The sequence below is a fragment of the Homo sapiens genome, chromosome 2, assembly GCF_000001405.40.
Source record: "Homo sapiens chromosome 2, GRCh38.p14 Primary Assembly".
Classification (NCBI taxonomy): domain Eukaryota; kingdom Metazoa; phylum Chordata; class Mammalia; order Primates; family Hominidae; genus Homo; species Homo sapiens.
In genome coordinates this window covers 179,724,254-179,738,108 of record NC_000002.12, presented here as the reverse complement: position 1 = coordinate 179,738,108, position 13,855 = coordinate 179,724,254, and the positions used below count along the sequence as shown (strand labels likewise).

At 35.4% G+C, this 13,855-nt stretch overlaps 1 protein-coding gene across 15 annotated transcripts in view; it reads left to right on the top strand.

The window, feature by feature from the left end:
• The window catches only part of ZNF385B (zinc finger protein 385B), a 419,631-nt gene that overhangs the window by 123,504 nt on the left and 282,272 nt on the right, over positions 1-13,855 (top strand). The gene's annotated exons all lie outside the window — the stretch shown is intronic.

Sequence of the window (13,855 nt, the reverse complement as noted above, 5' to 3'; positions counted from 1 at the left end):
ATACCTCATGGGTGTTACTGAAGCAAAAGGCAGATTGTGACTTAGGCATATGATAAAGGAGGTTTAAGGGTTGGATAGATCATTAAAGTAGATGATCTTCTAACTTCAGACTCTATGATTATATGAGCATGTTAAATTTCAAAGGTAATGCATGAGTGACCATTTGTTCATTACATTAGTTCTGCATTCAGGAGAAGCAGTGGAGTAGTGGAGTTATGGAACAGTTTCTGAGGCATTCAAAGCGCAGCTCCACCACAATTTAGCTGTGTGATCATGGACAAATTACTTCACTTTCCAAGTCTCGGTTTCCTTATCTGTAAAACAAGAATAATAATAGACTCAATTTTATTTGTTGCAAAGATTAAGTGAGAATAATATATATAAAGGTTTTTGCATAGCAAGTGGAGAGAACATGCGGGGAATATGATGTAATCAGAAATTATCCTAGTAAAAGCTGTGGGGTTGCAATTGAATTTATGATTTGGCATGTGGTAAAGTACTCAATAAATTCAGCTGTTGTTATTTTTAGATTCTTTTTTCAATCATAGATGTCTTAATAAAAGTTAGGGTCTGAAAGTTAAAACCTAAAACAGGTAGATATTGATGGGCGATATGGAGCCGGATTACAGGAGACACAAGTTAGATGGCACAACATGTGAGGTTTTGAGTAGGTGGGGGCCACATAAAGAATGGGCCTGGGCAGGAAAAAAAAAGGGAGTTTCTGAAAGGGAATTGAGGAACTTTATTGCTTTTAACTCTTTACCCATTTCCAACTATTATTTCATTTGATCCTTACTATAACCCTGAGAAGTAGAGAAAAGTAACATTTTCTCGTTATACTTGATAATAAATAAGCATCATCAAAAAGGTAAGTGACTCGCTGAAGACAGGATAACTGGAAGTTAAACCTAGACCTCTCAAGCCCCACACCGCCACTCAACAGCTTTCATATGTCACACCAAATTCTGCCCAGTTCCATGTGCAACCCAGCTTGAATGTTTGCATTTGAATGACAACTTAACAGTAAAGACTATAAATAAACAATGTGATGAGGTTTGGAAATGAAGGCAAGACGTGAAAAGAGAACAGCATTAGTGAGTTGCATTTACTCCAGTATAAAGTTTTGTTTTGTTTTGTTTGGAGACGGAGCCTCGCTCTGTCGCCAGGCTGGAGTGCAGTGGCATGATCTCTGCTCACTCCAAGTTCCGCCTCTCGAGTTCAAGTGATTCTCCTGCCTCAGCCTCCTGAGTAGCTGGGACTACAGGTGCTCACCACCATGCCTGGCTAATTTTTTGTATTTTAGTAGAGATGGGGTTTCACCATGTTGCCCAGGCTGGTCTCGAACTCCTGAGCTCAGGCAATCCACCCACCTGGGCCTTCCAAAGTGCTAGGATTACAGACGTGAGCCTACACGCCTGGCCCTGGTATAAAGTTTTAAAGTGTTTCTATTGATTGGAAGACAGCATTTAAAGAAGTCTGGAATGATGATTAAAAGCTCAAGAAGTAGCTTTACCAGTCAATGATGTTAACGTTATTATCACATTTTATCATATCTGACTACTGAAAGGGCTTTCTGTGTAATACGATTAACTGTCCTTGACACACCTCATGCTAAACGGCAAACTTCTTTAGCATGACATAGCAAATCCAATAGTTAATAAGAATCACCATATAGTAAAAGCTTAATGGTCCAATGAGTTGAGGGAGGACCAACAACAGGGACTAAAGTTTGTGCTTTGATTTGTCAAGCAAAATAAGAGCTAAAAAAAAATCTGCAAAATTGATAGAGAAAAAAAAGTCCCATTATTTATTTTTTAGACAAAGTTGTAAGCTCCCAAAGCAAGTATCAAGTAAGATGGAGAGTTTTATAAATTATTCTGCCTACTCTTATTTTAATAAATATAGATGAGTAGTAAGTAAAAATAGTCCTTCACCTAATCAGAACCTATAATTATTAGCTGTAATTGTCACAGTCATGGTTCTTGCTGGCCAAGGTATTTATTTTTCTTTTTCACATTTAAATATATTTACATAAAAATAATAAAATAAGGTATATTTAAGGAACAGGCTTTTTTTTATTATTATACTTTAAGTTTTAGGGTACATGTGCACATTGTGCAGGTTACATACGTGTACATGTGCCATGCTGGTGCACTGCACCCACTAACTCGTCATCTAGCATTAGGTATATCTCCCAATGCTATCCCTCCCCCCTCCCCCCACCCCACAACAGTCCCCAGAGTGTGATGTTCCCATTCCTGTGTCCATGTGATCTCATTGTTCAATTCCCACCTATGAGTGAGAATATGCGGTGTTTGGTTTTTAGTTCTTGAGATAGTTTACTGAGAATGATGATTTCCAATTTCATCCATGTCCCTACAAAGGACATGAACTCATCATTTTTTATGGCTGCATAGTATTCCATTGTGTATATGTGCCACATTTTCTTAATCCAGTCTATCATTGTTGGACATTTGGGCTGGTTCCAAGTCTTTGCTATTGTGAATAATGCTGCAATAAACATACGTGTGCATGTGTCTTTATAGCAGCATGATTTATAGTCCTTTGGGTATATACCCAGTAATGGGATGGCTGGGTCAAATGGTATTTCTAGTTCTAGATCCCTGAGGAATCGCCACACTGACTTCCACAATGGTTGAACTAGTTTACAGTCCCACCAACAGTGTAAAAGTGTTCCTATTTCTCCACATCCTCTCCAGCACCTGTTGTTTCCTGACTTTTTAATGATTGCCATTCTAACTGGTGTGAGATGGTATCTCATAGTGGTTTTGATTTGCATTTCTCTGATGGCCAGTGATGATGAGCAATTTTTCATGTGTTTTTTGGCTGCATAAATGTCTTCTTTTGAGAAGTGTCTGTTCATGTCCTTTGCCCACTTTTTGATGGGGTTGTTTGTTTTTTTCTTGTAAATTTGTTTGAGTTCATTGTAGATCCTGGATATTAGCCCTTTGTCAGATGAGTGGGTTGCGAAAATTTTCTCCCATTCTGTAGGTTGCCTGTTCACTCTGATGGTAGTTTCTTTTGCTGTGCAGAAGCTCTTTAGTTTAATTAGATCCCATTTGTCAATTTTGGCTTTTGTTGCCATTGCTTTTGGTGTTTTAGACATGAAGTCCTTGCCCATGCCTATGTCCTGAATGGTAATGCCTAGGTTTTCTTCTAGGGTTTTTATGGTTTTAGGTCTGACGTTTAAGTCTTTAATCCATCTTGAATTGATTTTTCTATAAGGTGTAAGGAAGGGATCCAGTTTCAGCTTTCTACATATGGCTAAGGAACAGGCTTTTTTAGTCCATAGCCACTTTTACACTCAGGCAGTATACATATTCTATTATTGTACTTATACTGTGTATTATTTATTTTACAATATCTTTCTCACCTGTTAGTATATGAGTACTTTGAGGATAGGGTCTATGTCTTGAGTCTTTAAATATGTGACTCTCAATATAATACCTGGCATATGATAATAAGTCATAGACTTAAAATGTTGACTAAAGGACAGAACACTTGAATATAGAATCTGTGAATACTTGTGCAGAACTCAATACTTTATTTGATATTGCTGTTCATAAAAAGATTCATTCTTCAATTAAAACATGCTATTTTACTTACCTGTCAGATGGATAAGATCAAACCGTATGGTAGCACAATGAGCTACCTAGTATGTGGGCATGGGGCACTCTCATACATTGTTATGTGGAGTATGAATTGATTCATTTAATATTTGCAGGGCAATGTGGTAATAACTATTAAAACTTAAAAGGTGTATCTCTTTTGACCCAGCAATTTCACTACCAGATTTAGTTAACAGATATACTTGCATATGTATACAAAGACACATAAAATAATAAATTTCCTTGCATGTGTGTATATACATATACATAAAGATTTTATTGCAATGTTATTTGTAGTAGAAAAATACAGGAAAAAATACTCAGCAATAGATGATAATAATTATGGTTCATCCATGCCATGTGATATTATGCAGTAATTTAAAATAATAAGATATGTCTGTAAGAACTGATATGGAATAATGTGCAAAATATAAGAAAAATTTGCAATATGCAGAACAAAGTATATATTGTTTGTGTAAAAGGTGTGTATGTTTGTATGTGTGTATGTACATATATACATACATATGGGGGAAGGAGGAGGGGATCAGGAAAAAGAAGAAAAGAATGAATTTATTTCATGGGAGACTGGGGAATGGGTTCAAGGTAGAATTACTTTAAACTGTATGCTCTTTGTGCTGTTTGAAGTAGACTTATATTTAACTATTATACTCTTGTACTTTTTTTTTTTTTTTTTTTTGAGACGGAGTCTCGCTCTGTCACTCAGGCTGGAGGGCAGTGGCACAACCTCGGCTTACTGCAAGCTCCGCCTCCCGGGTTCATGCCATTCTCCGGCCTCCGCCTCCGGAGTAGCTGGGACTACAGGCACCCGCCACCGCGCCCGGCTAATTGTTTTGTATTTTTAGTAGAGACGGGGTTTCACCCTGTTAGCCAGGATAGTCTCAATCTCCTGACCTCGTGATCCGCCCGCCTCGGCCTCCCAAAGTGCTGGGATTACAGGTGTGAGCCACCAACTCTTGTACTTTTAAACTTTTTAACATACACATGGCTCACTTTGAGAATAACAAATATATTCACATTAAAAAGAAGGTAACAGATGAAAGAAGTGGAGGGGAAATGGAAGGAATGTGATGTGATCAAAAGTTATCACAGAAAAAGCTTGTAGAGTTGCTAGATGATGACTTTGTGGTTTCTAGTCACAGTTAATGGATGGGAAAAGATATAGAGGAGAAGTCATCCCACCAGGTAACTGGATGATGATCCAGCCTGTTGCCCTTGTCCTCCTAAGTGTATGTTGCCTAGAAGGTCAAGACAGAAAGCTGGTGTTTGGTCAAGTCCTGAGCAGGAGTTGCGCTGACCCTCTATGATCATTTCTGGTATCTAGGTTTAGCCTAACTGATAATGCATGTTTACCTTCCATACTTGCTGGAAATAACTCTGCAAGAATTCATGATTGTACATAGTCATCTGAATGTCCCTCCTTTAAAACTTCTACTTTTCTTACTTTTGAGTGTCTATGTAAAACATTAAGGGTCTTGGGGAATTTCAGCTTTGTGTTGGAAATGAAAATTTTCAAGGTAGCTCAATGCAAGTCACACCACCATATTAAAAAATAAAGGAAGAATGACCAAAACCACATTAAAATAATAATAAAGCATACCTTAAATCTGCAAATGTGACAGTATTCAATGCTGCACTGAGCTCACCGTGTTGTTTTTTAATCTCATACATTTAGTTCTCTGTTGGAGAAACGCATAACACTGGGTGATCTTACCTTTGGGGTTGTAATACAGAATCATGATGAGATGATGGACATTTTATGATGAATTCTCTTGCTTCTAGGAGTTTAATGCTGAGTTAGAATGTTAATTTAACTCATTCTTTTTGTTTAATAAGCTCAAAATCCCAGCTGAGCCCAAATGGGAGTGATTTTATCTTATATTCAACATCAGCTTGCAGAACTGAAGCATGAAAGGTTTGATTAATATTATGATCAGCTGACTATTGATTATCTAGCTATTTTCCTTCTGTCTTCTAATTGGTCCAAATTGGCTGGACTGCTGCTCTTTGAAATATGTTCTTCTTTGCATTTCAAGATGATGCTATTGGATTTTCACCAAGTCATACATACCCTTTTCCTATTATGATCAGCTGCATAATTGCTGGCATTTATGTATTTCCTACACAGGATTAAGGGTAAAGTTAGTGTTTGTGAATCTATAAAGAGCCAACTGGACAACAGAAAAGCCATGATATTAGTCTCAGTGCCATGCTCTAAATTGGCTGAGCCAATGGGACACAATCAGTTGACCTAATTCTAAAATTCTGTGAATTTCCATCTTTCTTTGCCTCATGAAAAATGACAGCAAAAACAGAGCAGGAAAAGATACTTCATTAAACTCCTGCTGTGAGACAGTTTTAATAGGTTCAGAGACTATAACCTCAAACTATAAAGGCTGAGCATTTGTGCAAAAAAGAGAGCGATCTTAATCCAAAAAAGTTTCTTTCCTTTGCTAGGCATTCTTTCTTTACATACAGATTAGTGCCAAATGGTGGTCTGTTCGTGTCATGCCTAGAGGGTGTGGTGGCTTTGTGGGACTGTCAAGAAATAAGAGTTGGCAAAGCAGGCAAGCTGGTTGCAGAGGGCCTGGTGTGCACATTTCCGGTAGTCTTCCCAGCTCTGGCAACATGTTAGAATCAGCTGGGAAACTTTTATTGTTTGTTTGTTTATTTTAGAAACAGGGTCTTGCTATGATGCCCACGTGGGAGTGCCATGGCACAATCACAGCTCACTGCTTCCTTGAACTCCTGGGCTCAAATGATCCTCTCACTCCAACCTCCTGAGTAGCTGGGAATACAGGCATGAGGCACCACTTCTGGCAGGAGATTTTTAAGTGATACCATGCCCACACTCCACCCTGATCAATTAAATCAGAATTGCTGGCATGGGTGTTATTAAGAGCTCCTCAGTTTGTTCTAAAGTTACCTTTGAGAATCACCGGTTAAAGGGGTTGATTTGCGCTCTGCAGTGCAGGTGCTGGAGAGTTTTTGAAAGAAGCACCACAAATGAATTGATTGTGAAGAAACAGTTACGAGTGAATTAAGAAAGTACACATGGCAAAGATTTTGTGACTTGGTATCAGGCAGCCACAGGTTCGAACACTGACCCTGACTCTTGCTATCTGTGTGGGAAAGTTCTCTTACCTCCCTAAACTCAGTTTTCTCATTTATGAAATGTACCTCATCCAGTAGGTATGATGATCAAATGAAGTTACATATGCCACAGAATATAGCACAATGCTTAGAAACGTGGTAATTGTGGGAAAAAGTAAAAGCAGAGGTACACCTTTCTAAGTTTGAATTCTTGGCTACCTCTTTTTACAAAGTGGGAACAGTACTAGCCAAATCTGAACATACAGGTTGAAACCAAATGTATACATATTTTGCTTGAAGAAATAGTTGCATTTTGGTCAGGTAAATGTGTATTTTCAAAGCCTTAATCTATGTTAACATGTGACTTTTATGATAAAGTCTGAGTTATATTTTGATGGTGTTTGGTAAAAAGGTGGAAAAAGGTCCCAGTAAACTGAGTTTATAACTTTTGTTGCTTTAGAATATGCTGGTCATTGTGGACAATCAGTGTGTGGCAAGGACTCTTTCAAATTTAATTATACTTTTGATTTTAGGCTGCTTCTCCTCTATCTTGTTACCATTCTATTTCCCTTTGTATCATAATAATTTTTCTATTACTTCACACTAAGCTGCATGTACATATATTTGTTTCTGAATTGTTCATTCATTCACATGATCATTCAATATCATTTATTGAGCTTAAATTTTGTACTAAATTATTTATCAGTATAGAAGTAGTACATAATTTACAAATGGACTTTATTGCAATAATTGATTTGGAAGTTAATTAGTGGCTTTGAAGCATTTTCTCATACATTTACTATTTTAAATTAGGCATAGACTTCCAAGCTAGCTAAGGATGGAGGAAGAATCTTGCAGAAAGGAGTAGTGCACAATTTCCATAGGAAGAACTAAAGTTTATACTGCTAATAGAAAGTAATGAAGAAACGGGGACAGGAGATAGAACGTAAGAAGTCAAGGTATATATTGAAATGTTCCTATTATGGTGAGGTCAACATTTAACTCCTTTTCTAGAATTATATAACATGGAAGAATGTCTTCTTGAAGACCAGAAGAATGAGAGAAGAGGTAACTTAAATTTCTTCACAGGTGGTGGTAATATGATTTGTCATTGAAATTAGACACTTTTAAGAGTTATTAATGATTAAGCCAGGACCCGGGCATAAACTTAGTGTTACCTCATGCTGGAATGTGTGGTCACTCTAAGCAGGGTGTAATCAATCTTAAAATTGTCCCAATGCAGTGTTAAATAGATTGAGCAAGTGTCCAGATATATTTAGATTTAACAATTTAGAATTAACAACTAAAGCAACCCTAGCCTGGGGATACTATGGTGTATTAGTCTGTTTCTGCACTGCTATAAAGACACACTTGAGACTGGGTAATTTATAAAGAAAAGAGGTTTAATTGACTCACAGTTCCAGATGGCTGGGGAGGCCTCAGGAAACTTGCAATTATGGCGGAAGGGGAAGCAGATACATCTTACACGGTGGCAGGCAAGAGAGAGTGTGTGAAGAAGGAACTGTCAAACACTTATAAAACCATCAGATCTCATGAGAATTCACTCACTATCATGAAAACAGCTTGGGGGAACCGCCCCCATGATCCAATCACCTCCCACCTGGTCTCTGCCTCGACACATGGGCATTATGGGGATTACAGTTTGAGATGAGATTTGTGTGGGGACACAGAGCCCAACCATATCATATGGTATTTAATCTTCTGCCTTCCTGAAAACTAATAGTAATGTGACCCTTGGAATATTTACAAAATTGGTGAAGATGAGTACTTCATGTAAGCATTAATGCAACTTGAAATGTAAGAACAAGACCAGGCAAGAAGCTACAAGTTAATAATATATCTCTGAACTTGAAAATGCAAGGTTTATCCTTTTGGTTTTCACTCTGATTTTGTCCCCGTGGTCTTGAAACTTCTGAGAGGTTTACATCTGTTTACAAATTCTGTTTGTCTAACACCATTTTGCACTCATAAGATTCTGTTTCCTTGGAATTTACTACTAGATTGGGTCCACCTCCAGCTGTCTCAAATTGTGTTTAATCACCAGGAAAGTTCTGTTGATTGTCAATGATGTTTGCTTGATTAATTCAGCTCTAACTGTGTTTCGTTTTTACCTGTGTCTTTCAGGATGTCCTAGAAAATTAAATGTTTCCTTTTGGGATTTTCAGGGAACTGGAACTAAAAAGAAAGTTAATTTCCTTGGTTTTTTTTTTTTTTTTTTTGAGAATAGAATATTTTCATTAGTTTTCTTTAATACAGTTTTGACTTTAGAGTAAATATTTTATGTGAACTAAATTTTCTTTGAAGTCGTGTTTTTACTTCACTATGTCATTAGAATTTGGCCTATTATTTGGCTAATACTCTAAAGCATAATCTACTTGAATCTTTTTAAAAGACATTACTTTGGGAGTTGGATTTAAGAAAAATTTAAAAAGTACTTGTGCTACCTGAGTTTTTAATAATTTTCAATAGTTTCCTGACTTAATCTTTTATCAAGAATCCATAATGGGCTTTAAAGTTATAAATATATAAAATGGAATGGCTTTTTCTGAGGAATATTTTCCCATTGATTTCTATTACTCGTTCTTCAGTGTTGTTTTCTTCCTGTCCCAAAGTCTTCCCTAAAGATTAGAGTTTGCAAACCAGTATTAAAGATTTTTTGATGACATCAGTCCTTTGGGAAGAAAGTGCAATATACTGGGACCAGCTAATAGTAAATTTAAAATCAAAGTTTTAAAAAATTTTGGGCTAAAAACATATTAACTATGGGAAACATAAATTTTCAAGACCCAAGATCCACAAATGTGTATTTTTCACACTCACTGCTCTCTTCCATATAAAAGAGGTCATGGTGTGGTGGAAAGAACACCAGATCAGAGTTGGGTTTTCTGGATTCTCATCTTGAGCTACCAATGGATTTTGATACCTTCAGTAAGTCACGTAGTTATGTGGGTGTTAAAGTCCTCATCTCCAAAACAAGGAATTGAGACTAATTTTTTTTAGTATCCTTTAAGAGCCACTTTTGCTGGAAAATTCTAAGGAAACTTTTTATGTGATTTTGTAGGTGCTTGAAGTTCGGCTGCACTCACAGTTTAAAAAGAGAGAAGAAAATGGGTAATGTTTTTTATTTTCTCCAGAATTAGCTGTTCTAAGAACACAAAGGATTATATGGAGATTATTATTGAGATAACTACATTCAGAGGGTTTAATCATATGCATTTTATTCAGACAACTTTCTCATTGATTTTTGTCTGAAAGAGTCAAATCTGACAAAAAGGCAGTTGCTCTCTGGGAATGGGAATGAGCTACATTTGTTTCAAGAGTCGGGGCATTTTTTGTGATTATGATGTTCTACAGAAACATCTTGAAGTGCCCATATTGTTTGTTATTATCAATATTCATGCATTTTACTATTAAACATTCTTTTTATAGACTTCACAAAAATGCCCCAGTGATATGATTTGTCACCCAGTGAAAACCTGCTGCCTCCAAGCTAGTCTGGGCATCTGCTCACAAATAAGATTTCCTCAATGTTCAAAATAAATCTTTTCTGTCACTTTATGGTATCTTTTGATGCACTCCATATGTCTTAAATACATAGGATTTAGGTGTGACATGTTGTTTTTCCATAGTGGTTATTCAAATCAGTTTTTATTTGGTCATATTCATTGGTTACATTTTTAATCATGTAATTCCCAGTTTATTCTTATGTTGTATATAATTCTAAGTTTGTAGCAAGAAAAATATATCTAAGCAGAATGGCTACACTGCTATGGTCTACTTAAGTAGATTATAAATGTTTTGAGGTGGCAAACGTTGTTGCTGTTTCCCATGATTACTCCTTAAAAGGGCAGATGTAGCCATTTATAGCTGTAGCAATCACACATTTTTCAGATATTATTTTCCTTATTATATAGGACTTCCCAAGTGTGTCATTATAAGATAGCTCATGCTGCAAGATCCTAAGATTGCTTAGATAGCACAACTCCTTTGAAAATTCTGTGGACAAGAAATTAAATCGGTGGTATTTTATATTGTTTGGAGATTAATTTTTGGAAAGCTGAAACTGATGGATTTCCAAAAGTGGGATAATTGAAATGAGGATTTATTTTAAAATATTTTAAGTTTATAAAAATAATAAAGTCATAAAATTGAGTGGTTATCAGATAAAATACCTTGCTTCTGATTCATTCAACTCATCTTTAAAGGCAGCTGAGATCTCTTTTTAATGTTGAGTATCTGTTCATCTCATCTGAACTCATCGCTATAGTCTGAGTGCTCCCTGAAACACACACACGGAACTCTACTTGCACCACAAGATGACTATTTCAAGACAATGTGATATACTCATTTAAGTCACACATTGTGGTTAAAGTACTCGGGTTAAAGTAATGTGGATTCTAATCTCCATTCTTCATTAACTAGCTCAATGTCCAGTCAACATCCAGTTGCACTACTTAACATCTCTGTGTTTTATCTCATGCTTCAAATAAGAAAAATGCTATACATCTACAAAACTGACAGATATCCTATGTGCATTACATAAGATGATGTCTATAGATGTGTAAAGCACAAATGCAGTAATAGTACTATATTATCTCCTCCTCATCATTGTCACAAGTTATTTATTAAACAGAAGTAGCCCACAATTTTTTGACTACTTGTGTGTTGATATTGGACTTTGTCAATGTGAAATGATGTAGAAAGCCTAGAACAGGAGCACTCAAGGGTGACTTGTAATAAAAACACTAGGCCGCCACCACTACAGTGTATTGAAGTCTTACCCTGTGCCAACTACTATGTTAAGTGCTTTATGTATAATCACATTTACCGTATGAAAAATTGCTTCAGTATAGTACTAATACTCCCATATCCTAATGAGCAACAGAGGCCCAGAAAATAACTGCCTCTAGGTCTTACAGCTAGTAAGTGAAAGAGTGAGGACATGTGATTCCAAACTTATATAATTATATTTTTAAAACAATATCCAGAATTGGAATGGGCCGATGATAGAAGGAAACACACAAAGGATATGGAGAGGTGCAAGACATGCATTAAGAAGATAAAAAGAGGCATGAAGCCCTCAAATAATGGTAACTGGTTTGTTAGGGCAATAAATCAATGAGATTTTAATGAAGGGAAAGATACAGGACACCAAAGGTGAACCTACCACACTACTCCTTTTTTTAAACTGGTATTTCATACTTGTTGTAAAGGAAGTTGAGAAGGTTGTTGTGGAGAGAAAGTTTGAAATGACAGTTGTCCACAAGAATGCAAAAGTAGGAGCTACCACTTTAGGGAGATATGCAGAAGCTATGACTCTAAGATTTCATTTTAAGAACACTGTAGATCTTTTCCTATAAGGTGGGAAGGTAGTGTGCTATTGTCTAGATTTATCTCTCTCTCTGTATATACACATATATATATATATATATATATACACACACAAACACATATATTCATATATATATCATGTATGTATATATGAGATATATGATATATGTATATATGATATATCTGAGATGTATATCTATATAGGTTCATATATTTAAAAGAATCTGGGTTTCTTTGAAACATCTTATCAGTTGGAACATAGTCATTGCTATCAAATATCTACCTTTTAGCCTTTCTCAAACAATTTGCATAGTAATTTTTTGTTAAATTTCTGTGCTTTCAGTTGTCAGTTTTGCACCATTTCTTGTCAATTTCACACTGTAGAGCAGTGTGAAACTGACAAAGCTAGAGAAATACAGAACATTATGAATACATATCAAAACTATACTGTGAAAAAGACAACACTTAATTTATAGAATCCAAAGAAAATGTCTAAAAATTACCTTCATGTATATATAATATATATGACATTTATATATCTTGGAAGAAAATGTGTGTATATATATATTCATAAATATATATACATGCACGTATGTGTTTTTATATATATGTGATGAGTAATTTTAAGGTAACTGAACCTTGTTTTTGTTGACTATACAAAGTATGTCATAGAGAAGTATAGTTAAAGCAGTTTTTCATTTATAACTAACCTATTAATTGAAAATCTACAACTTTCCTAGGCTGGAGTAATTTCACTTGACATTTCTGAATACGTAGGTGTTTAGAAATTAGATTACTTGATTGAACAGTATACACTGAACCTTTGATCACACAAGCCTCTTTTCTTACTATGTTTTGAAAAATAGCTGTGGCTCCTGATCTGATAGGTGAAATTAAATATACATTATATAAGTTTAATTACTGTTGTGTAGTTTCCCATAAATGTACAGTAGTGATAGTATTTATTACAATGCTTATTTTTTATGTGAATTATGTAATTTTTCTCAAGTTAAATACTAATATTTATGGATGCCTACCAACAGCAACATAGATTTAGAATTTACTTTCAAAATAAGCTAAATTCATAGCAAAATGGTTTAAATTATAAAAATCTTACATTAATTTCTATAAAAATCATTCATTTATTTGTGCAGACACTATTGTATGCATCAAGGATGACAGACACATTCCCATCCTCCCTAGCTTCCCAGCTTACTGTCTAGAGAACAGTTATTTATTAGAATTTGTCTTAAAGAGTCAAAATAATTATCAACCTCTAAAAAGGAGCTTCTATTTCAATATTTTTATCCTGCAAAGTATCACCTTAGCTTCTTGTGCTAGTCTTAAACTAAAATTATGTTAGAATAATGTTCACTAAATATGATTTGTAACATTGTAACTGCTGTGCTGAGTCAGCCTATATGAATGGCTTTCCATTAGATAAACTCTTACAAAGTATTTTCTAACATTTTAGTGAATTTTGAGGCTTAATTCTTAATAGGGTAAATTATAGAGTGATTCTACCTTGATTGGCATGTCTTTGGAAGAATTTACATAACTAAAATATTTTTGAGAACCAATTTAATTGAAGATTTAGACAGTTTCTTTCAATACTGTAGATTTCGTTCTTGATAACCACATATTATCACAAAGCCTTCATTTAGTTTTCTGATGCCTTTGTTAATTAATTTATTATTATTATTTTACTGAGATGGAGTCTTGCTCTGTCACCCAGGCTGGAGTGCAGTGGCGCAATCTTGGCT